At 48.6% G+C, this 23,601-nt stretch overlaps 2 long non-coding RNA genes across 2 annotated transcripts, besides 2 other annotated features; one reads left to right on the forward strand and one right to left on the reverse strand.

Moving 5' to 3' along the window:
- Window positions 1-11,310: 11,310 nt before the first annotated feature.
- Window positions 11,311-12,818, reverse strand: LOC124904326 (uncharacterized). The gene is made up of 2 exons (XR_007066417.1): window positions 12,646-12,818; window positions 11,311-12,284 (listed from the first exon to the last, which is right to left on the reverse strand). It is a non-coding gene; the product is annotated as an uncharacterized LOC124904326 (long non-coding RNA).
- Window positions 12,553-13,091, forward strand: LOC105376874 (uncharacterized). The gene is made up of 2 exons (XR_007066418.1): window positions 12,553-12,595; window positions 12,799-13,091. It is a non-coding gene; the product is annotated as an uncharacterized LOC105376874 (long non-coding RNA).
- Window positions 14,854-15,355: an enhancer, noted in NCBI's record as "H3K4me1 hESC enhancer chr18:72882003-72882504 (GRCh37/hg19 assembly coordinates)". NCBI's record gives its function as "activates a minimal SCP1, AML or CMV promoter by ChIP-STARR-seq in primed H9 embryonic stem cells {active_cell/tissue: H9 hESC(primed)}" and the evidence as "EXISTENCE:reporter gene assay evidence [ECO:0000049][PMID:30033119]".
- Window positions 15,356-15,855: an enhancer, noted in NCBI's record as "H3K4me1 hESC enhancer chr18:72882505-72883004 (GRCh37/hg19 assembly coordinates)". NCBI's record gives its function as "activates a minimal SCP1, AML or CMV promoter by ChIP-STARR-seq in primed H9 embryonic stem cells {active_cell/tissue: H9 hESC(primed)}" and the evidence as "EXISTENCE:reporter gene assay evidence [ECO:0000049][PMID:30033119]".

Consider the following 23,601-nt stretch of genomic DNA (forward strand, 5'->3'; position numbering starts at 1 on the left):
GCAGGCCTGCGGGAGGCCTAGCCCGGGGCAGCAGCACTGGCAGGAGAGAGAAGCGGTGAGATTCTGGATGCGTTTTGAAGGCAGAGCCACTAGAACTGCTCACAGATTGGCTGTGGGCGTGCAAAGAAGAGCGCAGTCAAGGACGACGCCAAGACTGTGGACCTGAGCCAGGATGGAGTGGCCTTCACCGAGAAGGGAAGGCAGACACCCTCGGGTTTGAGAGGTGAAGGAGGAGGGGTAAGGTTTGAGGGTCTGTTTACATCCAAATGTTGGAAAAGGTCTGGAGGCCAGAAAGGAAGCACTGTCGACAGGGGAGAAAGTGCCGGCCCAGAGAAATGGCAACCTTGACCCCTCGTGCAGAAAGGAAGGGAGCCGGTGCCTCTTGCTTTAATACATGGAGACTGAGGCCCAGGATTTGAGTGAATGACCATGGTCCCAGGGCTGGTTGTGCTGGGGTTGGGGGTGCTTTGCCCTAGTCAGCGCTCCACCAAATGGACTCCCCCAGATTCTCAGGTTCCTGCTGCCATGTGAGCTCAGCACTGGTGGAAGGGCCATGAACAAAGACGATGATAAATAACTGTGTACCATGTCCGCGAGGGGGTCTCGCATGGCGCCCCAGGGGTCAGTGCAGTCTGGCTTTATTTAACGTCTTCGTTAATTATCTGGAGGAGAGGATAAAACTTGTTAATTGAATTCACAGATTGTGCAAAATTAGGAGGTGTTGAGAAGACCAGTGAGGACAGAGAAATCGTTTGAAGAGCCCAAAATATGGACAAGAAATAAAATGAGGCTCGGCTTGGAAAACGGCAGGAGGATGTAACCAGAGGATATTAATCCAAAACATTGGAATTCAATGGGCAGTAACAGCCAGGAAAGTAGAAATGCTAAAAAAAGCCTATGGGTAATGTTGGACAACAAATTAATTATAATTCTACTGTGCAACTCTGCAGCCAAATGGTCCAGTGTCAGTTTGCCCCATACTTACAGGCCTCATTAGCCTGAGATGGGAACTCATAATCCTTCTCCGTCTCTGCACACACACACGTACGCATACACACTCGTCCACACACACACACGTCCGCGAGCACACACACGTCTGCACACACACACGAACGCACACACATGTCTGCACACACATGTACGTGCACACACACGTACGCACACACACATGTACGCACACATACACATGTACGCACACCCATCAACCCTCCACATCTGAAATGTTTTTGTTCCCGGAATGGCTCAAGAGTAGAGAGTGATAGAGCAGCCAACAGGCCCTCCACCTCGCTGCCCAAAGCCTTCCTTTCTTTAGGGAGGAAATGTGTGGGCAGGGTCCCGGTCAGGAGTGAATGTAGGGAGGATGGAGCTGGGGGAGGGGATGCAGAGGCTTCGCAGATGTGCAGGTTCGGGAGGGGCAGTGCCAGGGCAGCAGGTACCGGCCTGTGCCTCTCCGTCCCGCTTGGTTGTCATCATGAAGACAATAACAACAGCGGCTAATATTTTGGGGATGAGCATGGTATTAAGTCCTTGATATAAAATATCAAGTCCAGTTTTGGCAGCCGGCTGAGGTAGTAGGATTATCCTCAATCCCCGTTACAGGAAGCAACGCTGAGGTGCAGCCCAGTATGGTAATTAGTCCAAGATGGCAGTGCTAGAGACTTGGCAGTGCCGTGGCTGAAACTCCAGGGCCAGTGCTCACCACCACCATGTCACGCAGTGTCCCACCACTCCACACAGTGTCCCACAGGGTGCAATGAGGGACCGGGTGTTTCCTTCCTATTCCATCACATGTAACTACCCAACATGAAGTCATGACCATGTGGCAACCTCAGCTGTAGGTGACGGGGATCCAGCCAGCTCCAATCAGAGCACCCATCTGGGGCTCAGGGTCTCAGCGGGGGTCCCCATACTTTCTGGTCTGTGTGACCCAATGTTAAAAATCAAGAAGTCCCCCAATGAATGTATATTGATTTGTTAATAATATACATATACCCCAGTACTAATTTATTATATATGTCATATAACTTACCTCAAAATAAATATGATAAATACATAGAAGTGGCATTTCTACTGTTTCCCCGCTAGGCTGTGTTGCGGCAGACAGGCAGCCCATATGGAGCCCTGGTTTAGGGACGGGCTCTGACACCAACAAGCAAGTGCAAGTGGACTGGCCTGATAATGCCCCCGCATTTATGTCCACCCAGAAACCCAAGTGCAACATGATTTAGAAATAGAGTCTTTGTAGATGTAATCAGTTAGGATGAGGTCATACTGGAGGAGGGTGGGCCCCGACTCCAATGACGGGTGTCCTTGCAAGAGGAAGAGCAGACACAGAGACACGCATAGAAAAAAGAAGTCCACGTGAAGATGGAGGGGAAGACGGGGGCCGTGCTGCTGCAAGCCAAGGAATGCCAGAGATTGCCGGGAGCCCCCAGGAGCTGGAGGGGCATGGAACGTTCTCCCCGAAGCCCTCGGAGTAAGCGTGGTCCCGCCTGCACCTCCATCCAGCCTCCAAAACTATGAGAGAATGGATTCCTGTTGTTTTAAGCCACTGGATTTTTGGCACTTTGTGATGGCACCTGTAGGAAACCGACAGGGTTCCAGAAGAGCAGGGGCCGCACCTGACAGAGCTCAAGACTCAGGGCTGTGCCACTTTCCCTGGGATGCCCTGCGGAGTTCTAGAATGTTGGTACTGTAAGGAACCATCCCTCCCCCTTCTCATACCCAATAGGAAACTGAAGCCCAGAGAAGCTCAGAGCCCACCCAGCACCACTGGTGGACTCATGCAGAGCCCAGCCTTCCCCCACGGCCCAGGCTCCCTCACTGCACAGCGCGGCAAACTTTCCCATGAGCTCCAAATCCGCGTGGCCAGCCTCACCTGGTGTCCCCATTCTAAAATGCGACTCCCTGTGGCACCCACACCCTCGCCTGTCCGCCAAGCCTGCCTTCCCCGCTGCATGCCCTGCCTCCACCAGTCTCCCAAGGCTGACCTCCATCCCCTTTTCTCAACAAGCAACCCGATCGTCTTGATTCTTTCACCTGGATGTCTCAAATTGGCCTCTCTTTATTACCCCAGCTCCCACTGCTCTGAGTTGGGCTTCCCCATCTCCTGCTATAGAATAGTCACAACCTCCTCCTACCCCAGTCTCTGTCCCAGTCTTGCCCCCACACCCCAGCTCACAATCCATTTTCACATCACATTTTTCTAAAATGCAAATCTATTCAAGTTCCGGATTAAACTCCTCTAAAAGCTCAGCTCCCTATCACCTTTTAAGTTCATTCAGCTGAGCTCTTTGGGATAAAGGGCGTTAAGACACAGCTGGGCCTGAAGGTTGCGGCCCGCAGGTGGAGGGACAGACAGATCGGCTGTGCAAATGACAGACGCAAGGAAGGCATGGACGTCTGCGGGCTCCTGCCCCGTCCCATGAGGCCTCTGAAGACTTCCAGGAGCAGTGGCACCTGGGCTGAGCCCAGTGTCCTGAGTGGCAATGCAGGTGGCACGCCCCTGAGGCTGCTGGGGGTGAGGAGAGTGTGGGCGCTTGGTGCTGGCTTGGATGAACGGGCAAAACCGTGGTGTCACTAAGTGGGAGGAGAAAACCCAAGCCCAGTTCCTTGTGTTGTTCAATTCACTCGCTACTCTCAGGTTATCTCCAGCCTTCATCTCCAGCACAGCCCGCCTGTTCCGCTCCCAGCCTTACAGTGTGCACCCACTGCCCACACAGACATGGTTGCAGTCACCTCCTCCAGGAGGCTGCCCTCTACCACCGCTCTTGGCCCCCCCAAGGGTCAACTGCTCCCGCTCTGGCTCTACCCCATCACTCTGCTCCCACCTGGGCTGAGAGCCCATGCCCCCTCCTATGGCAGCCGCCTGCCTGTGCACTTGGCCCTTTCTCTGAGTGTGGGCAGCAGGTCTCATTCATCCAGAATTCGCAGGCCTACGCGTGCCCTGAGGGGCCTTCCCATGCCTTGTGTCGCATGGTCCTGCACAGTCATGGTCTATGTGCAGCGGGCTAAGTCTCCCTGAAACTCGGTCCATGGGGGACTGGCACTTCCCATGCAGATGGAGCTGTGAGTTGAAGGCCCTGGGGCAGACCCTGGATGAGGCTGGGCCTGAGGCGGCAGAAGAAGGAGGGTGGTCCAGGAGGGGCCTGGGCTTTGCTCCCAGAGCACTAGGCAGTGTGGGGAGTGGTGTGGCTGGACCCGCCCTGTAGTCCGCCTCCCCTTTCTGGAGGACAAGCTGCCAGGACAGAGCCGGGGGTGCAGATCACGCTGGGCTTCATTTCACAGTCTCAGCGTGCTCCCGACGGCGTGGGGAGATCCTGGCAGCCCTGCCAGGGGATGGGAAAAGCTCTGAGAAGAACAGTCTTGATTGTGGACTTTTTTTTTTTCACAGTTTCAGCAATTTTAGGTGACACTTGCCTGGGGCTATTGGGTGTTGACTTCATTTGTGTATTCTTCCTTGTCTATTGTTGATTGCAGCTGATACCCTCAATGGATCTAGATTCCAGCCCCTCACCAGTAGGGAAAGGCGAATAGTCTCCAAATTCCTTGGAACTATTTCTCACAAAGATTAGGAAGCCTTGCCGGAGAGACTGCAGCGGCTTAGAAGAAGCAAGAATACATTTGATTGAGGAATACCAGCATTCGAGACAGAACAAAAGGACGAAAGTGGCGAACAGATGGGTGGGTGTCCTGTGAAGGCTCATGATCTATGTGAGCAGAGCAGGCTGCGCCCTCCCTTTTTTTTTGTTTTTGATGCATCAGGGTCTGATGTGATATGATATGACAGAACATGTCAAAAATTTAGGGGAAAATAAAACCCTGGTTTTTTTTGAAACATCAAACTATTGCTATCAATAGGAACAGCAACTGTTCAAAAATTTGTTTCAGAACTGCCAAGAAGTGAACGTTCGTGGAAAAAAAAAAGTATTTTTCCCTGCTGTTTGCAAGGTGGACACAAATGCAGACGGTAGGAGGTTGACAACTTGACACATGTCTGATAAATCCAAAGCATACAAAGTCAACAACTCGCTGCTCAAGAAAGCATTCTCGAAATAAAGAGTGCTGCGCAGAGAAAGAAGAACCATTAAAAAATAGATTTTCCGAATTCAGTAAGTAGTTTAGCCCTCGGAGCGCCAGTCTTCAAAACAAGGAAGCTTTTTCTTTCTCCCTTTAAAAGAGAGAGAGAGAGACGGAGAGGAGGCGATGCTGGGCTTGGAGCGGAGGGGGCCTGCTGCATTTGAAATGAACCAGGTGAAGCAGTGCCGCATCCAGCCAGCAGATGTGCGAGGCTCGGAGGGCTGGTGACAGGGGTCAGGGTTCGAGCCTTCCAGATCCCGGCTGTTCGGCAGCTCAAGGCAGGAGTGGGTTGAATTTGATGAGTTGGTCCAGTTACAGGGAATTCACAGATCACAGTCAATGCCAGGAAGATTTGGCCACCAACAGCCTGTCTGCGGCTGGCCAGGGGGACGGCATTTGGGAAGCTCTGTCTGCTGCCTGAACACTTGAACACGGACAGAGAAAAAGGCACAGACACTCAGGGTGAGGGCTGCAGGCACCCGACTGAGTGCTGGAGAAAGGAAAAGAAAGAATGAATCATGTTCTTAATATCAAAATAATTAAGAATTTTGTTTTAACCATTTTTTCCCCAGACTGCTAATGCTCTTTTCTTTTTCCCATCATGATGAGTATGATGAGGAAGAAGATTGTAAATAAATGTGAAATGAATGGCAATTCTCATGCAAGTCTCACGTAAACAAAAGTATCAGCATTAAAGTTATGAATCCTAATTTGTGCCATGGAGCTAAAATCTGTATGCTTCTGAATTAGGGAAATATAGACATACAGCACTGAGAAGCGTCTCTGTGCGGTTCAGAAAACTGACACAGTCTCTCCAATTTATGGGAAAATTGACATAATTTTGCAAAAATGCAAAACCATTTGCGAACTGGGTTTTGCATAATGGGATTAATTTGGTTGACTGTCATATCCACTATGCTGCAAAATGCAAGGTAATCACAACATCATTCTGGGTTTTTTTTTTTTTTAAGGGAAGAAAGAGAAAGGAAGAAAGAAAGGAAAAGCATTTCCCCCTATTCTGACTATCTTTTCATTAAGGGAAAATACCCAGTCTTCTAGGTGGCACTGAGGTACCTCTAGAAAACAATGCTAGACAAAATTCTGCAATGGTTGCCTTCGTGAACTGAACTGAATTGGCCTAGCTCCAGTGAGAAAAATTAACAGCTTTCATAGAGCATGAACAATTGCTGCCAGAAAAAGTCCGTACTTTCTGCTTTGGGGTGTGTGTGCGTGTGTGTGCATTTGTGCAGAATTATACTGCACAACAGAGCTAGGGCTGTATTATATACAATTTGTTACCACACTCAATGATTTAACCTCATTATTATGAACCCTCTTTCTATCAATAAATAAGAGCTGATTATTCTGAGAAGAAGGCACAATATGTGAATTTGTGAAACAGCGAGGCTATGCCGTGGCGACAGTGACCCCAGCGTCTCAGTGGCTTCACACAGCACTGTTCTTTCTTCTTCGTGCTACGTGTCCAGCATCAGCAGGAAGGCTCTGTCAACTGCTGTCCCTCAGGGTCCATCCGGGCACAGGCTTCCTGGGATGCCCAGACAGGAAAGGGGACACGCAGTGAGCACACCAGGTCCGAAGGCTCCACTTGGAAGAAGCACTTTCACTTTCACCCACATCTCCCTGGCCAAAGCAAGTCGCATGGCCACACCTACCTTCAGAGGGCGCAGGGAGGACTAGAAGACAAGTGAGCCCATGTAGTTGCTGCCACAGTCAGCATGCTGGGAATTTTTCTATCTCTTTCCGTTACTCTAAAGATTGATGATGAAATAGACCCTTCTTTTTGTCTTCTCCAGATAGAGGGACAGGTGTGATTGGAGAGAGTTCTTCCTTCACTATGAGGCATTCAAGGCAGGGTGGCATTTTTCAACTCAACCCAACAACAACGGAGAGCCTGCCCCAGGCCTGCTAAAGAGGCTAATGTGGCAAGGAAGACATAGAAGACCATGTCTTCCTCATCTCAAGGGAATGATGGAAGAATGTTGGTAGGAGTAATGGGTGGATGAAAATACCTTCTATGCAAAGCCGAGCGTGGCCAGTGCTGCTATTCAGAAACACGAGAGTCCAGGCAGGCTTCCCATGAGAGGCGTTGACACTGAGCCTTGAAAGATTCCTGCTGGTGGGAAGGTGGGGAGGGGAACAGCAAGACCAAGGCATGTGGGAATAGTCAGTCGTCCAGTTTTCAAAGAGCTTCTGAGTTTCCTTGCAGAGAGCTGGCACTCTATGATGGGTGTCCTGGCAGTTAGAGGTGGGGAATGTACACTTGGTTTAGCAGCTCTGGACAAGAATGGCTCCACCTGTCTCCTTAGCATCATTCTAGATCCATAAGGTCATGCCTGGGCTGCTTACGCCAGTGACTCATTCTAAATCCGACAGTGCATTCTAGAGGCAGGAAGATCTGGGCTCAAGTCCCAGTTCTGCAATGTACTGACCATGTCACCTTGGGTGTGTTGCTTGGCCCCTGCAGGCCTGCCTTCTCATCTGAGTGGGTCTAATCATACCGACTTCATAGGGCTGTTTAGACTGAGGGTTAAAGATCATGTCTGTGAAGAATCTTGCATATAACAACAAAAAATAAAAACAATAATAAAAATTAAAAACAAAAACCTCACAACCAGACAAAGGAAGGAATTACTTTAGCATTAAGAAGAATATTCATTATAATACTTTCTCAATAAAAAGCTCTTGTTAATAGAATTGCATTGTTATTAGCTTTGTCTTAAGGACAATGACTGCTCATTAATTACATGAACACCCACTGGGGGCCTGCTCAGCTGACAGGGATTCCCCCAGCGCCCTTGTCTGTCCTTTGCTTGTGCCCTTCTGCTGTGGTCATTATCCAAGGGTGGCTTGGTCAACAGGGCTCTTTCTCCTAGGAGTGTGACACTTGGCCAGAGTCGCAGTGGAGCAGCATCACTTTGCTGACGTGTCCTATGGGATGTTCACGAGCAAGTATGCAGAGGCACCCTGAGCTGCTCTGTGGCCAGGGTGCAGGTGTTTGGCTGGTCCCTGAATTCTACAAACCAATGTAGTGCCCTCTCAAATCCCACTTTATGGTTCAGACAGCAGCAGGTCTCCTGTGCTGACCTCCAAGTTACACTTGGTCAACAAAACAGGCCTCTAAAATAAAGAAGACTCTTCTTGTTCTTAAACGGAATTCTCAAGTAAGAAAGTAAGAATGATTGATGATCAACTTGTGTTTTTTTCTTTCATGTAAACAATTGTCATGAGGTCAGTGAATCCCACGGAGCAGGTTGCAATAGAGGTGATGGTGATAAGGGAGCCGGAAGAGAATGGGCTTTGAAGGGTCCACAGGATGTGAGGTACAGACTGCACCCAGATTTGCACAGGACGTCTGGTGTGGGATGCAACGACCCCGAAGGTTTGTTTCTTGCTGCTGCAACTGGGTAGACTGACTCGGGCACTGCTCTTAGGTGAAATCCTCCCCCAGGGGTAGGGCTGAGCTCAGGTCAAGGTTAAGGCTGCTGACCAGGCAATTCTAAAGAGGGAAAGAGGAGAGGCTTGTCTCTCCTGCCCCCATTTCAGGCCTACCCTCTTTTCCTAGGGGCGAGGGGAGGACCATGGGAAGAGACGGGAGGAGCTGACTCTCATTGAGGGTGCGCCTTGTGCCAAGAGCTGCAGTAAGCTCTGTGCATCTGCTTCTGATGTCATGGACAATGGTCTTCATGCAGCCCCTGTTGTCCAGCTGGGAGAGTGGAGGCTGAGAGGCACGTACCCCTTGCTAGGGTCACCAACTAGGAAGGGCTGGACCCTGGATTCAAGGCCAAGCCTTTGGGACTTCAGGACTCTCAGTCTAACTGAACACCAAGCAAAATGTTACTCCAGGGGTAAAGGAACACCTGCACTGAACACCAGGCAAAGTGCGTCATTGTTTCTTTTCCAAGCAATGAAGACAGGAGGGAGACAGAGGAGAGGGAGGCACTCCCCCCAAAACCCTCACCCCAAACAATGAGGGACTCAGCCCCTCAGAGCACCTGTTCTTTCAAAGAGTTGGCTGCACACATTCTGGTAAAGCTTCGTGCTGTTTCTGGAGCGCAGAGGGACATGGCTTTATTCATCTGCTCTGTGCAGGGTGTCGCTATCCCGAGGTTAAGAAGCCTGGCATAGACCACTGATGCGGTTTATTGACGGAGCCCCAAAGCCTGAACTCTGTCTAGACAAGGCTGACGGTTAAATTCCTGCTGGTCATGAAAGGTCAAACTCAAATATAGAACAAATGGTGTGCAGCTCCTGAGAGCAGGGTCTGCAGGTGTCAGTGTTAACTGATTGTAACTCCTACACCAGGCAGGTGAATGCTTCATCCACAGACCACACCAAGGCATGGGGACAGGTGAGCACCCAACCCCATGATCTGTGGAGGGGCAACTGTGGTTGGCAGCATCAGCAGATGGCCTGAGTGCCCAGAGTGCTCACCAGGATCCTCGGTCAAAGGAGGTGCGCTCTCAGGAGGGGACTTTAAACCACAAAGGTTAGACAAATAATCAGAGGGTGTGGCTGGAAGCCATTCTGGGTGGCCCTTGTGGGTGAGAGTGTCTCACTTGCCCTGACTTCCCAGCAACCCTAGGGGAGAGTTCCAGTCTCCATTCCATGGAAAGGCTTCTTGTCACATCATTGTCCCAGGAAAACTGCCCATGACATCATTCTCTGAGCTCTACCCCAGGCACCTCATAGAAGATTCACGTCAATGATCTCCAGTGAGGTGCAATTCGCTTGAGCTAAAGTGCCCTGTACAATCTAGGGTGATCTGCAGAAGCCAGGGTACCCTGTAGGAGCTGGGGTACCCTGTATGAACTGCTGGGTATCCTGCATGCACCTGGTACCCTGTATGAGCTGGGATATCCTTTATGAGCTGAGGTATCCTGTATGAGCTGGGTATCCTGTATGAACTGGGTATCCTGTATGAGCTGGGTGTCCTTTATGAACTGGGGTATCCTGTAAGAGCTGGGTATCCTTTATGAACTGGAGTATCCTGTAAGAGCTGGGTATCCTTTATGAACTGGGGTATCCTGTATGAGCTTGCTATCCTTTATGAACTGGGGTATCCTGTATGAGCTGGGTATTCTGTATGAGCTGGGATATCCTTTATGAGCTGGGGTATCCTGTATGAGCTGGGTATCCTTTATGAGCTGAGCTATCCTGTATGAACTGGGGTATCCTGTATGAGCTGGGTATTCTGTATGAGCTGGGATATCCTTTATGAGCTGGGGTATCCTGTATGAGCTGAGTATCCTTTATGAGCTGAGCTATCCTGTATGAACTGGGGTATCCTGTAAGAGCTGGGTATCCTTTATGAACTGGGGTATCCTGTATGAGCTGGGTATTCTGTATAAGCTGTGATATCCCTTATAAACTAGGGTATCCTGTATGAACTGGGGTATCCTGTATGAGCTGGGTATCCTTTATGAACTGGGGTATCCTGTATGAGCTGGGGTATCCTGTATGAGCTGGGTATCCTTTATGAACTGGGGTATCCTGTATGAGCTGGGGTATCCTGCATGAGCTGGATATCGGTTATGAGCTGAGCTATTTTGTATGAACTGGGGTATCCTGTATGAGCTGGGGTATCCTTTATGAACTGGGGTATCCTGTATGAGCTAGGGTATGCTGCATGGGCCTGGTATCCTGTATGAGCTGGGGTACGCTGTGAGACCTGGGTACCCTGTAAGATCTGGGGTGCCCTCTGCAAGCTAGGGTAACAAATGGACCCGTGTGTGTTCTGAGGACTGTAGAGGTTTATCCCTCTCAGGTAAAAATCCACAGGAATATTCCAGCCCCACAAGTGGCTCTGCTCCAACGAAGTCATTCAAGAAGCAGGCTCTGTCCAAGTTGTGAGATCCTTTTTCTGTCTTTCCCTATGGCAATGTCTATCTCTGCATGGCCAGAAGTTTTCATCAAGAAAGCAGGGAGAGGGTGTGGATGAGACACATCCATAGGTTAAGAGCTAGGTGTGGCGGTGCATCGGGCTTCCTCTCCCGTTCCACTGAGGAGTGCGTAGTCACCGACCACTCCCAGCTGTGGAAAGCAGGCACCGCAGTCCAGATTTGTGATTGGGAAGAAGGCAGGGCAGATCTGATGGATCTCTAGCAGTTTCCCCTCAGTAACCATCTCTCTAGTGCCTAAGAAATGGTGCCTGATGGTTCATTCATTGTAGCATTATTTTTAATACTAGATTTATTTTAAATTCAGACTGTGTTATATGTTATAATACCTTTATTTTATACTGGAAGCAAGCGTCAATGTAGGAGAGTCTTGAAACCCAGCACCAGATAGTGGTTGCTAATCCCAGTCTTCCATACAAGGATCCCGGGTTCTGTGAAGAAATGCTTAATTCTGGGACTGGGAGGGGAGTAAACAAGATGAGCCTGGAGCAGAAAGCAAGGAAGTGTCCAAACCAAGCCAAACCAAAACACCCAGGATGCCGCCATAATGGGGACATTTTAAAGGGACATAGGAGGCAATGGAAAGAACCCCCAGTGGCTAAAGCTAGAGCAATTTGAGCAACAAAGTAAGATAGCATTGGAAAATAACTCAAAGTATAGAGCCAGCCTATTCTGATAGAAATGACTGAGGAAATAAATAATTGGAGGGAGAGTGACAAGTTTTCTGTGCAGACTTCCAAATAACTTATGTAGATCCCCTGCCCTTGAAGAGGGGAAGCACAGCTCCCCACTTTGGCCACGTGGGCTGCTCATAATGACTTCTTCCAAAAGGTATGGAAAGGGGTAAGGCAGTTTTACAGTGGAGAAACCTGGCAGACACTGCTTCAGCCAGGTCATCACGTTTAACCATGCTCGGTTACGTTGACCCGATGCACCCTTGATGGGATGGGATGAAAGCGCTCGACCTCCATCACAGGTGCAGTCTCCACTCAACCCACTATGAGAAAAACATCAAACTCCAATTCTTCAGTGTTCCTGCCGGTCCTCCTCAGAACAGCCAAGGTCAAGGTCATTCAACACAGGAAAGTCTGAGAATCCATCACCACCAAGAGGAGTCTAAGGAGAACTGAGGATTGAGGGCCATGGGGTGTCCCGGCTGGGGTCCGGGGTAGAGACGGATTTTAGGTAAAGACTAGAGAACCCCGAATAAAGCGTGGGCTTCAGTGAAGCACTCCTGTGAGTCAGTACTGCTCTGTGAACTGGGGCGGATGCACAGAGGAACACGATCTAATAATGGGAAAAGAGGAGATGGGGTGTGGGCTATGTAGGAACTCTGTGCTATCTTTACAATTTTTCTACAAGTTCATTATTTTAAAATTAAAAATTTAGGAAGAAAAACAACAACAAAAACATTCCCAGGGGATTCCATTGTCCAGTGGGCATTAGAATGTTGTTGTTGTTGTAATTTGTTTATTGTCACGTTAGCCATTATTTATTATTATGTCACATATGTGAGACCACAAGGGCTGCTCCCCGCATACCGGTGGCCCCCCCAGTTAGCTGCCTTGGGGAGGGGAGGAAGACCACCAGAGCCCAGGGTGGGGGCGAGGCGGCTCCCGGAGGCTCCCCTGCCCCTCCCAGTCCTCACCTCCTCCTCCCTGAGTGGCCTGGTGGGATGGAAGGTGTCTGTGGCCGGCTGCCCAGAACACCAAGAAGGGCCCTCTTCCTCCTTGAACTTGAGCCAGCCCCTGGCGTCTTTCTCGGGGCCAGAGCTTTGCCTCTAAATGGTCTTTGTTTGCAGACGATCTGCTGTGCAGATCATGAACCGTCGCCGCAGTGCCAGACAGACTCTTCATCCGGACCGGCCGTCCCACTGGGTCCCCTCAGGAAAGCGCAGAAGCCGGGGACCCCAAACCGCGTCCAGCTCCTCCCACCCGCCCTTCTCGGAGCCGCGCACTTGGTAACTTGCGTGTGAAGAACTCACGGCCGTGTTGCCAGGAAACTGCGGGGAGCAGCCTTTGTGGTCTCACATATGCGTAACATAATAATAAATAACGGTTAACGTGATAATAAATAAACAAATAACAATAATTATAACGTGCCCCAAGCCTGTTGTTTCTCCAAAATTAATTTATGATGAATTACGACTCGAATTCCTCGGAACATACCAGTGGGAAGAGGAGAGGGGGCTATTTTATTTGCCACTGGGCTCAGAGTAGGGTTAAGAACTGTCTTTCCCTGAGCCAGACCTTGTCCCAGGTCCCTGGTAACCCAGGGAAGGTCGCCAGAGAGGAATTCTCTCTTTCCCTCTGCTTCTCACATCTCCTCCTCTGCCTAGGACAGTGAAGTTTTTTAGATACTTTACTTGCATTTCTAATTCAGTTATTCTTCTGAAATTTATTCAAAGGATTTATGCTTATGAAATTATAATATAATGCTGCCTATATGCCAATGAGCTGGAGGCAAAGAAAATAATTTTCTTCAATTTACAGTTATGAGGCTGGAGGAAAATGATGCCTTCTTATCACCTCTTTCTCTTTGTATGTCTCGGTATTTTTTTAAGTCTTCAGAAGGCAGGAGCTGATGATGAATTCTTAAGCAGATCACACTGATAATTGTATTTCAGAGCTGTCAGCGCTGGGAAGACTGGCCAGCGACTGTCTCCATGCACTTGAGCTATTTGTGTCGCTGCCTTCCTTCTCAGGAACTCAGCCCTCAATAAAGCCAACTCGCTGGGGATATTGTTAAATCGTCTGAGAGGATTATTAGATCGAAGGGAAATTTATGGATGACACTTTGTAACAATTAATCAGGAACTGTTGATGAAGTTTAAGTTGGTTCTTTATTCCTGGACCAAAAAAATATATATATACGTATATAGATGTGTGTGTATATATATATATACACACACACATATATAAAATCATAATAATATTCAGCCCTTGTTCCAATTGTCAAATGGCTCATTTTGTCACTCTGTTTGATTAATGAACCTTTTGGAGTCCCCCAAAAGTCCTAGTAATACAAATAAAGAGAATCATAAATATTGAATAAGCTCACAGCACAGTTAACCTTGACTACATTTTGGGACATACTTGGAGAAACTTTGCTATACGGAAAATAAATTGCTGTGGGGATTAAAAAAATATGCACACCCATACCAAATTGGAGATTTTGGAGAATGTCACCTCTCTGACCTTGTCACTCTTAATAATCTGTTGTGATTAATTAGTTTAGTTAGCTTTACAATCAGGTCAGCAGAGCGCCGGCATGCTGGCGTGTTTTACCGATGGGTCCCTGCCCAGCCCAGAAAGGGATGCGGGCTGGGGTGAGGGAGGGTCTGGAGCTAATGGGGCTGGTGTTCTAACCTCACAAGGTACTAAACGAGGGTGATGGGTGAGGACGATTTCAGGTCGTAATTTACGGAGCAGGGCCCTGGGTGGGGGCAGGGAGCCTTCATTGTGTGTTGGTTCTTGTGTTGAGTGCACTCACCCTTCTCAGGCAAAGATCCCCCCTCACCAGCTTGGAGCTTTTGCTGACACCCCTTCAAAGTTCTGATTCCAGATCTGACCAGTTATTTGACCCAGAAAACAGATTCTAACTAGGCTGTAATGACTTGCAATTTTTGAATGTAGCATCTAGTCCAGGGGTTAAGATTCCAGGGTAAGAGAGAAGTGGATTTGAGTTCTCCTCTGCCGTATCAGAGCCGTGTGGCCCTGGGCGGTTGGCTTTGACTTTCCGAGTCTCGGTTTCCTTATCTGTAAAATGGAGTTTCTACATCCTAGGATTTTTACAAGGATGAAGTGAAACAATTCAAAGAAACAGCTTGGCCAAATGTCCAGCATGCAATACTCTGCAGTGGGTAGGACTGTGTCGTCCTGCAATAGAAGTTGAAGTCCTAACCCCTGAGACCTGTGAAGGTGACCACTAGGGTACGCCTTAAGCCAATGACTGGTGTCCTTATATAAGAATCTGGACACAGTCACGGGGAAGACAGCCACACAAAGCCAGAGGCAGAGATCGGAAGATGCAGCTGCAGGCCAAGGACGGCCAGAATTCACGGAGCCGAAGCGCCGGAGAAGCCAGGAAGGATCTTCCCACAGAGCCTTCGGAGGGGCGGGGCCCTGCCGACACCTGGGTTTTGGATTTCTAGTCTCTAGGACTGTGAGAATACATTTCCGCCGCTTCCAGCCATGTTTTCCGTCATTTGTGAAGGCAGCCTTTGGAAACTGATACGTGCTGTAGGGTCACTGTGATCTGGTTTGCAGGGAACAAGTAAGGTGGGGCTGAGGACTTGGCCTGATGTGCCTGGCACTCGGTTTCTTGCTCCCCCTGAATAGTCCTGATCATGCCAGCTGCCGCCCCACGCAGGCTGAGCGCCGCGAAGGCCGGGATGCCGCTTCTCGCGTATGGGTGAGGAGCCGTGGTTCGTTCAGTTCAGCAGAGCGCCATCGCCGCCCCTGAAGTCCAGCTCTTAGGATCAGCGCTCAGAACCCCAGACTCTGTGACGTCGTTGTAGATGCAAAGTTGTCTCTGGTACAGGCCAAAGTGATTCATTTCATGGTATTGATTTATGTTGCCTTTTCTAAAAGTACAGTTATTTCTAAATAAAGACAACATTTAAAAGTTAAGAAGTAAATTACAATAACGTTACTTAAATTATCAGCTTAAAAATAAGGAACCTCACATTACATAGCAAATATATCCTCGGAAAGTTGCAAGCGAGTGCATTTTTTGTACGTAATGTCTTATTTTCCTGTTGACTTATAATGAGAAATTCAAAAAATCTATTTCCTCCCAAAGAACAATATTGGCCCCATTACACTAAAAATTACACTGGATCCTGCCATTTCCTTTGTCATTGTGGAACCAACATGTTCCAGCCGTGACGTAATCCTTCCAATTCCTGGCTCCCGCTCTCCTCCAAGACTTTCCCGCAGGTCATTGCAGATCGCCACCTTCTGCCAAAGGTTTTCACCGACTCTCTGGTCCGACGAGGAACGCTGCTGAGCCTGACTCTAGCAGGTGAGAGGCAGGATGTGGGGTCCAGCTCAGTCAGAATTCCTTCTGTGGACAAAGTCTGTTCACGTTGTGAGGGCTAAGAAAATGATATCCCACAATGAAGGCCTCAGAAGCAAAAATGTTTCTCACCTGCTCCTGCCCTCCTGTCCCTGGCCGCTCAGTCTCCCCTGAGGCTGGCCATAGACATCAGAATCTCTCTTCCCCAGTGCAGGTGGAAGAAGCCAGAGCCCTGTTTCCCCAAAGCCAGGCACAAAGCCGAAAAATACTCCTCTAACTTGCCCCCTGCCTTTCTGTGTAAAAACTGGCCCTAAAGAAATTATCTGACTTCCGTTGTTGGATTGTGGGTCCTGAGACCCCCATTCCAGAGAGGGTCTGCCCCCCTCCCCTGGAGATGGGAGTGCTGCAGAGAGGCTGAGAGGCACCTGAGCAGATGGGCCTTGCTGGGTTCCCCTCTCTGTCTATCGGCTGAGACCAGGCCCTTTTTGTCCAGTCAGTTTCTACATGGTGTCCACACTTTGTTGAACCTAAGCATAAAAACAGATCGTTTTTTCTGCATCTTCATGCCAAAGGCTCCCATATCACATAAAATATGTCTGAATACATGTGTATGTCTTTTCTCCTGTGACTCTGCCTGTTGCCAGTTGCTTTTCAGGGAACCTTCCTAGGGCAAAGGGAGATTTTCCCTTGGCCCCTACAAAGTGCAGGACCTTCAGCTCAGGCAACTGAGGTTTAGCATTGCCGCTGGTCTCCCTGGCAAGATGATTTAGGGGAAGGAGACTAAGAGACAGTGGTATGATGGTCCCCTCATCTTCGGGGGATACGTTCCAAGACCCCCATAGGATGCCTGAAACTGCAGATAGTACTGAACACTAAATACGTGATGTATTTTCCTATCCATGCACATCTATGACAAAGTTTAATTTATAAATTAGGCACAGTAAGCAATGACATAATAGAATTAAGCAATTATAGCAACTCACTGTAATAAGAGTTACGTGAGTGTGGTCTCTCGCTCTTAAAATATCTTATTGTTTTCAGAGCACGGTTGACGGCAGGTAACTGAATCCATGGAAAGTGAACCTGCAGATAAGGGGAGCTTACTTTGTTATCGAACGTGGTATCAAGAAGCAGGGGGTGTTTCAAGGAGGGTGAGGCCAACAGTCCAGTGCAGCCTCGACGTCAGGGAAGATGAGACTGTGGAGAACAGCTAGGCTCGGGCCCAGTACCGTGAGGGCTTTGCCATGGAGTCAGGGGTGCGGAAGCCCATGCAGCAGGCTGGGAGAGAGTAGGAGGAAGGAAGCGGGACTCTCAGCTCAGATGACTTTTCCAGGAACCTAACTGAAGGGGCAGGGAAGATGCAGGTTGGGGCCAGAGTCACAAGTGTTGTACTTGTCAGGGAATGGATCTGCAGCCCCCACCGGCTCCAGGACTATGGGGAGCTCAGAGCTTCGTCCCAGCCCCCACTGGCTGCAGACTACAGGAGCTCAGAGCTTTGTCCCAGCTGCTGTTGCATGCCCTGCACCCAGCACCATGCCTGGCACACAGTGATCATTAATATTTGCTCAGATGAGTGACTCGATGAACAGGAGTGCCACATTTGTGTTAAGAGGGAGAAGACGGTCCATAGATGAACAGAGAAACTTCCTAAGGACAGGGAGATGAGACCCCAGGTGGGTGGAGGGTCATTCCTGCATGTGAGGACTGCACAGCCTTCTCACCCAGGTCAAGGGAGAAAAAAAGTCTGAGGCAGGTACAGATGTATGCCAGAGTGGAGCACTGGCGTTGAGGTCACCCCTTCCAGACGGTCCCTGTCGGATTCTGGGCGAAGGAGAAGGGAAGGCTTTTTACTGCCAGTGGGGAGACCATGGAGGGCAGAGGAGCTGTGGTTGGGAGCAGGCGAACCTGGAATCCACAGGAAGCGGGGGGATGGAGTGTTGGAGGGTGAGCCACAGAGGGTGAGCTGTGCGCTCTTAGTAAGCAACAAACCAGGGTCAAAGGACAGGGAGGAACTGAAACTCTTAGAGCTGCGAGTCTTGTGCACGGATATAATGGGAGAGATAATAGCACAAAGGGGGAGCTGGAGAGCTGGTCTCAACCTGGATGCTGGTGTGTGAACCACTGACTTCAGTTTCAAATGTCTCATATGGAGATGATTATTTACGTACCCTACAATGCTGAGATGTTTTACACACCTGAAGCCATGGGTTTGTTTGGAAGAGCAACCTAAAAATGTAATTGAGCACACTGGCTTCTCACTTGGCAATTTTCTGAATAAAACAAAAACAAAACATCCCAAACAAGGAATGCACACCTGTTTTGTAAAATGCTCAAATTCAGGTCTCTGTCCACCTGCATTAGGATAAGGATAGACTAGATAATCCCAGTATTTCACTGGCTTCACACAACAGAAGGTTTTTTCTCCCACACTGGAAGTAAGAGATGGGTATTAGCAATCAGTGCCTTACTCATGGCCACTCTGGGAGTTGGGGTTCTCACATCTTGGGACTCCGAGCTCTTTGAGGGGCTGGGAGTGCTCTGCATTGAGTCAGGGTATAGGGAAAGAGAGGGTGCTCACAGCATGGGGTGGGGGGCTTCACAGCCTGGCCTAGAAGTGGATCACAGCACTGAGGCTGAAAAGCAATGGACCCAAACTCAGCTGTGGCCGCTGCTCACTGCAAAGGGGGCTGGGAACGTGGCCCAGCTGTGTCCTCAGCAAGAGGAAGTGGGTTTTCTGAGCTGCCTGGGCAGCAGCCTCCCAGAGACCCTCCAGGCTGAGGAATAAGTGAAGTAACAGGTGCTGTTGAAATCAGAGCCTTTTAGCTGACTTCTTGAATTTATGGATTGACCCAGCAAAAACCTTTGACAAAACATCGTGAACTGCTCAAATGTAAGGAGCTAAAGTGCACGTTAATAGGCCCCAAACAAAAGTGATCGATAATGATAATTAAATAAAGAGATGCTAAATTTATTTAACACCGAAGCTATAGGGGTAGCCAGCACACACACAGTTCTTTAGAGCCTAGATCTGTGGTTTGTAACTTTTCCATCCAGAACACACTTCCTACCCATTTATGGTCACCAATTATGAATGCACATTAAACACACTTTGCCCTTTTAGTTTTGCTAAATCATGGGGATTTTCAGTGTTTGCGTCTTCCCAGTAATGCAGGTGACAGTCTGTCTCTTCTCTCTCAGGTGTTTCTTCCTTTCTTCTTGAGATGAGTGAATTTCCACGTGTTGGATGCCCCTAAGTGGGAGGTCACATTGCTAACGTGTTATCACAAAATGTCCCTTAGCACTTGGTTAGGGCCTTAGATGCTGTCAAAGGAGGTTGGGGATTTTCAGATTTAGCCCCAAATAAAGTGCAAAGGTCCTCTGGATATTCTTAAACATACAGGGGAGGGAAGGCCTCTTCGGTTTAATCTGACAATGCTCAGGGTCCCTGCATAGCCCCCCCATGGAATTGGCAGCCCCCTGGGGAGAAGTTGCTGGAAAAAAGCCCCTCCCCAAGGAAGGGATTGCCCCCCACCTGCTTACTGACACCACGTGAGACTTTAAAAGGACGTGAGGCCACGATGAACGCATTTATTGAAGTAGAAATGGCTAAATGACAATCCTTTTATAGAAACACGCATGATTATTACAGAAAATTCAGAATATACAGAAAAGCATATCAGGAAAACATGGAAGACATAAAATGGTGATCTATTTCTGCTGCTGCTCTTGAGAGATAACCATCGTTAGCATTTTAGCCGATTTCCTCCCAGGCTTTTTTCAATGCAACTATGCTTAACCCAAGTCAGTGTCATCCTGAACACACTGCATTATAACCTGACTTTTCTCATTCAACAATGCATCGGGAAAAATTTTTAATGATAGATTTCTAGAAATGGCATGCGTGTGTTGAAGGCTACATGTGTTTTAAAGGTGTTTGTCACCTATCGCCAAACTACCCTACAGAAAAGCTGTTTCCACTCATACCCGCCCAGCCAGAGAAACAACTTTAATGAACTCAATGACTCCATCAAATTGGCCGGTCTTGGGTCAGAATATTCAGCAGACAAATTGTGTGTGATGAGAGTGTGAAGGTGTGTGTGAGGCTTTTACACTCCTCTTAATAAATCAAATTACAGAATCTCAGGGCGGGCAGGCAGAATGCTTGAAGAGCAATCTAGTCTTCAGATAATTCAGAATTCCATGACAGATCCTGAAAATGTGATTGAGGAAGAGAACATTTTCCTAGGTCAATAAGACAATGGCAGTGTATTTTTTTTATATTATTCTTCAATATTATTGGGGGGAGTGCAGGTTGGGGAAAGAAAGTGAAGGAAAGGCGAACAAACACATGTTGAAAATTTTGTGTCCACCAGTTGAGAGCATGGATGAATGCCTCATTACATGTGGGTGAATCCAGGGGCAGAACTGGAAGGGGTGTTGAAGCCATTGAAGGGGTATTGAAGTCATTTCTCAGATAAGGAAAGTGAGGCCAGAGAGGTGAAAAAGCTCACCCACTGTCACCTGTCTTGCTAACAGTCAGTTCCCAAATAGGCGTTCTCCCTCCTTCCTTCCCCTGTAACCAGTACCTGCCTGTATGTGCATGAGGACAAATGGTGTGACACTTTTATTAGGTCAACACAATATTTTTCTAGAGGATTTAATTATTTTTACTGAGTTGAACAATTTTTTTTTCTTTTTTGTTTTCTGAGATGGAGTCTCATTCTGTTGCCCAGGCTGGAGTGCAGTGGCGTCATCTCGGCTCACTGCAACCTCCGCCTTCCAGGTTCAAGCAACTCTCCTGCCTCAGCCTCCCGAGTAGCTGGGATTACAGGTGCGCACCACCATGCCCGGCTAATGTTTGTATTTTTAGTGGAGACAGGGTTTCACCATGTTGGCCAGCTGGTCACGAACTCCTGGCCTCAGGTGATCTGCCTGCCTCGGTCTCCCAAAATGCTGGAATTACAAGCGTGAGCCACTGCATCCAGCCAAGTTGAACAATTTTTAAATAAATTTACTTTGTCACTTGGCATAATGGAGACCTAATTTAGGACATTGTCAACAATTCAACCCTAACTCCAACATCTTTGGGTCACGATTGTTTTGGTCTTACTTGGCATAATTATGAGTGACATAAATGCACACTTTGTTGTTTGATGGTCCGTGTGTGAGGAACAGTCTCTGGAGCTGTGCTGCCATTTCTGGAGCTGTGTCTCCTTGGGCAAGTTATTTACCTTTCTTGAGCCTCAATTTCCTCATCTGTAAAATGAGATGTGACAGTTAATCTTATGTGTCTACTCGGCAGGGCCACAGAATGCTCAGATATCTGGCTAAACATTCTCTCTGGGTGTGTCTGCAAGGGTGTTTCTGGATGAGATTCACATCAGAATCAGTGGACTGAGTAAAGCAGGTAGCCCTCCCCAGCGTAGCTGGGCATCCTTCAATCTGGTGAAGGCCTGAATGAAACAAAAAGGCAGAGGCAGGTTGAATTTGCATTCTCGGCCTAACGGGCTGAGCTGGGACATCGATCATTTCCTGTTTTCAGACTGGGACTTATACTACAGCCTCTCCTGGGTCTCAGGCCGTCAGGCTAGGATGGAAACGACGCCCCAGCTTTCCTGGGTCTCCAGTCTGCAGACGGCAGATTGTAGGACTTCTCAGCATCCACAGTCATATGAGCCAATTCCTCATTCCGTATATATGTGGTCTCCTGTTGGTTGTTGCACTGGAGAACCCGGACTCGTACATGAGGATGACGTGAGTTCTTACCTCAGCATTGTAAGCATTCAGTCAGCTGCCACATGTCAAGTGCTTCACACCGTGCCTGGCACGTGGGATGTGCTATTTGAATGTCTGATATTCTGGACCTTGGTCATGGTGGTGCAACTTCAGAAGCAGCCTGTGCAATGGACTGAATTATGTCCTCCCCAAATTCACACGTGGAAGCCCTAATCTGCAATGTGATTGTATTTGAAGATAGGGCCAGGAGGAGGTGCCAAAGGTTAAATGAGGTCATGAGGATGAGGCGGGGTGAGACCTTGATATGACAGGGCTGGTGACCTTATAAGAAGAGGCAGAAACACTTAGCCCTCTTTCCAGCACATGAGGACAAAGCCAGAAGGCAGCTATCTGCAGGCCAGGAAAAGGCCCCCACCAGAACCCAAATCTGCTGGTCCCTTGGGTCTCACACTTCCAGCCTCCAGAATGGTGAGAAAATACACTTCTGTTGCTTAAGCCACTCCATCTATGATATGTTGTTAGGGCAGCCCCAGCTGACTAATAGAGCCCACTTACATGATAACCCACTCTTGAAATCACCAGCTGGACACAGTGTCATGCTTTCTGTTCTCTGGGCATGGCACAGAATGCCTTGTCAGCAAGCGTTTGTGAGATGAATGATGGACCAGTGACAAACAGGTGAGCCCCTCCATTTAATGCGGTTATCCCACCTCTAGCTTTCGCCTTATGGTAGGATCAAAGGGATGCGATGGTGCCACCTAGTTATGAGAGGGGTCACTGTTCACTGGATACCTCCTGGGTATCAGGTGCTTTACGATGAACAGTCAAACCTCATTATTTGCAGATTCTGTATTTGAGAATTTTCCTACTTGCTGAAATATATTTGTAACCCCAAAATCAATACTGGGTGTTTTCACGGCCATTCACAGACATGTACAGAAGGGTGAGGAATGTGGGTCTCCTGGCGTGCCCGTGCCCAGCGGAGGCTGCCCAAGGCGGTGCCCTGACTTCCTATTGCAGCTCACACCGTACACAAGCGTTCTGTTTGTGCTCTATTTACTGCCACATTGTTTGCAGTTTGGTCCTTTTTGTGAGTGATTTTGCAGTTGAAAATGATGTCCAAACATAGTGCTGAGGGGCTCTCTAGAGCTCCTAAGTGCAGGAAGGACATCGACTATGATGTGGAGAAAATCCTTGTACCAGGGAAGCTTCATTCAGGCATGGGCTATTGTGCTGGCCAAGAGTGCATGTGCATGAATCAACCCTATCTATTTAAAAAGGTGTCTTTAAGCAGAAACACATATAAAACAAGGCGATGTATTGATTGGGTGATGAAAATATTGTGACCAGAGGCTCAAATAACCTGTATTTCCTGTAGGAACAATGCCTCAGTATTCCTAATTCAGTGTTCACAACAACTTCATAGAACAGAACTACCATGGATACTGAGAATCGATTGTGATTCCTCCTCCTCAGAATAACACTGTGGGTACTGTCCCTGTTTCGTAAGGAAGAAGACAGTGGCTGAAACAGTCTGATGATTGGTGCTGGATAACATCGAGTCAGGATCCGCATCTGCCTCCGTCGGCTTCTTCAGCCTGTGCATTTTCCAGTGCACCAAGCCGCTGGTCCCAGCCCAAAGTGTGGTGCTCCAAGCCTGTCCTCCTGTTCTCTGGCCCTCCTTTCTTTCCTCTCACCTGTCACACTTTCAGACAGTCACCAGGAAGCAGGCATAAACCTTGCGGAATGACGAGATCTGCAAGCTCAGGAAAGCCCCACGCCTCTGTCTTGGGATACTCAAACCACACCTCCCGGGCAAGGGCTCCCCTGGGGTAAGACCCTGATTTTC

This window comes from Homo sapiens, chromosome 18, assembly GCF_000001405.40.
Source record: "Homo sapiens chromosome 18, GRCh38.p14 Primary Assembly".
Lineage (NCBI taxonomy): Eukaryota > Metazoa > Chordata > Mammalia > Primates > Hominidae > Homo > Homo sapiens.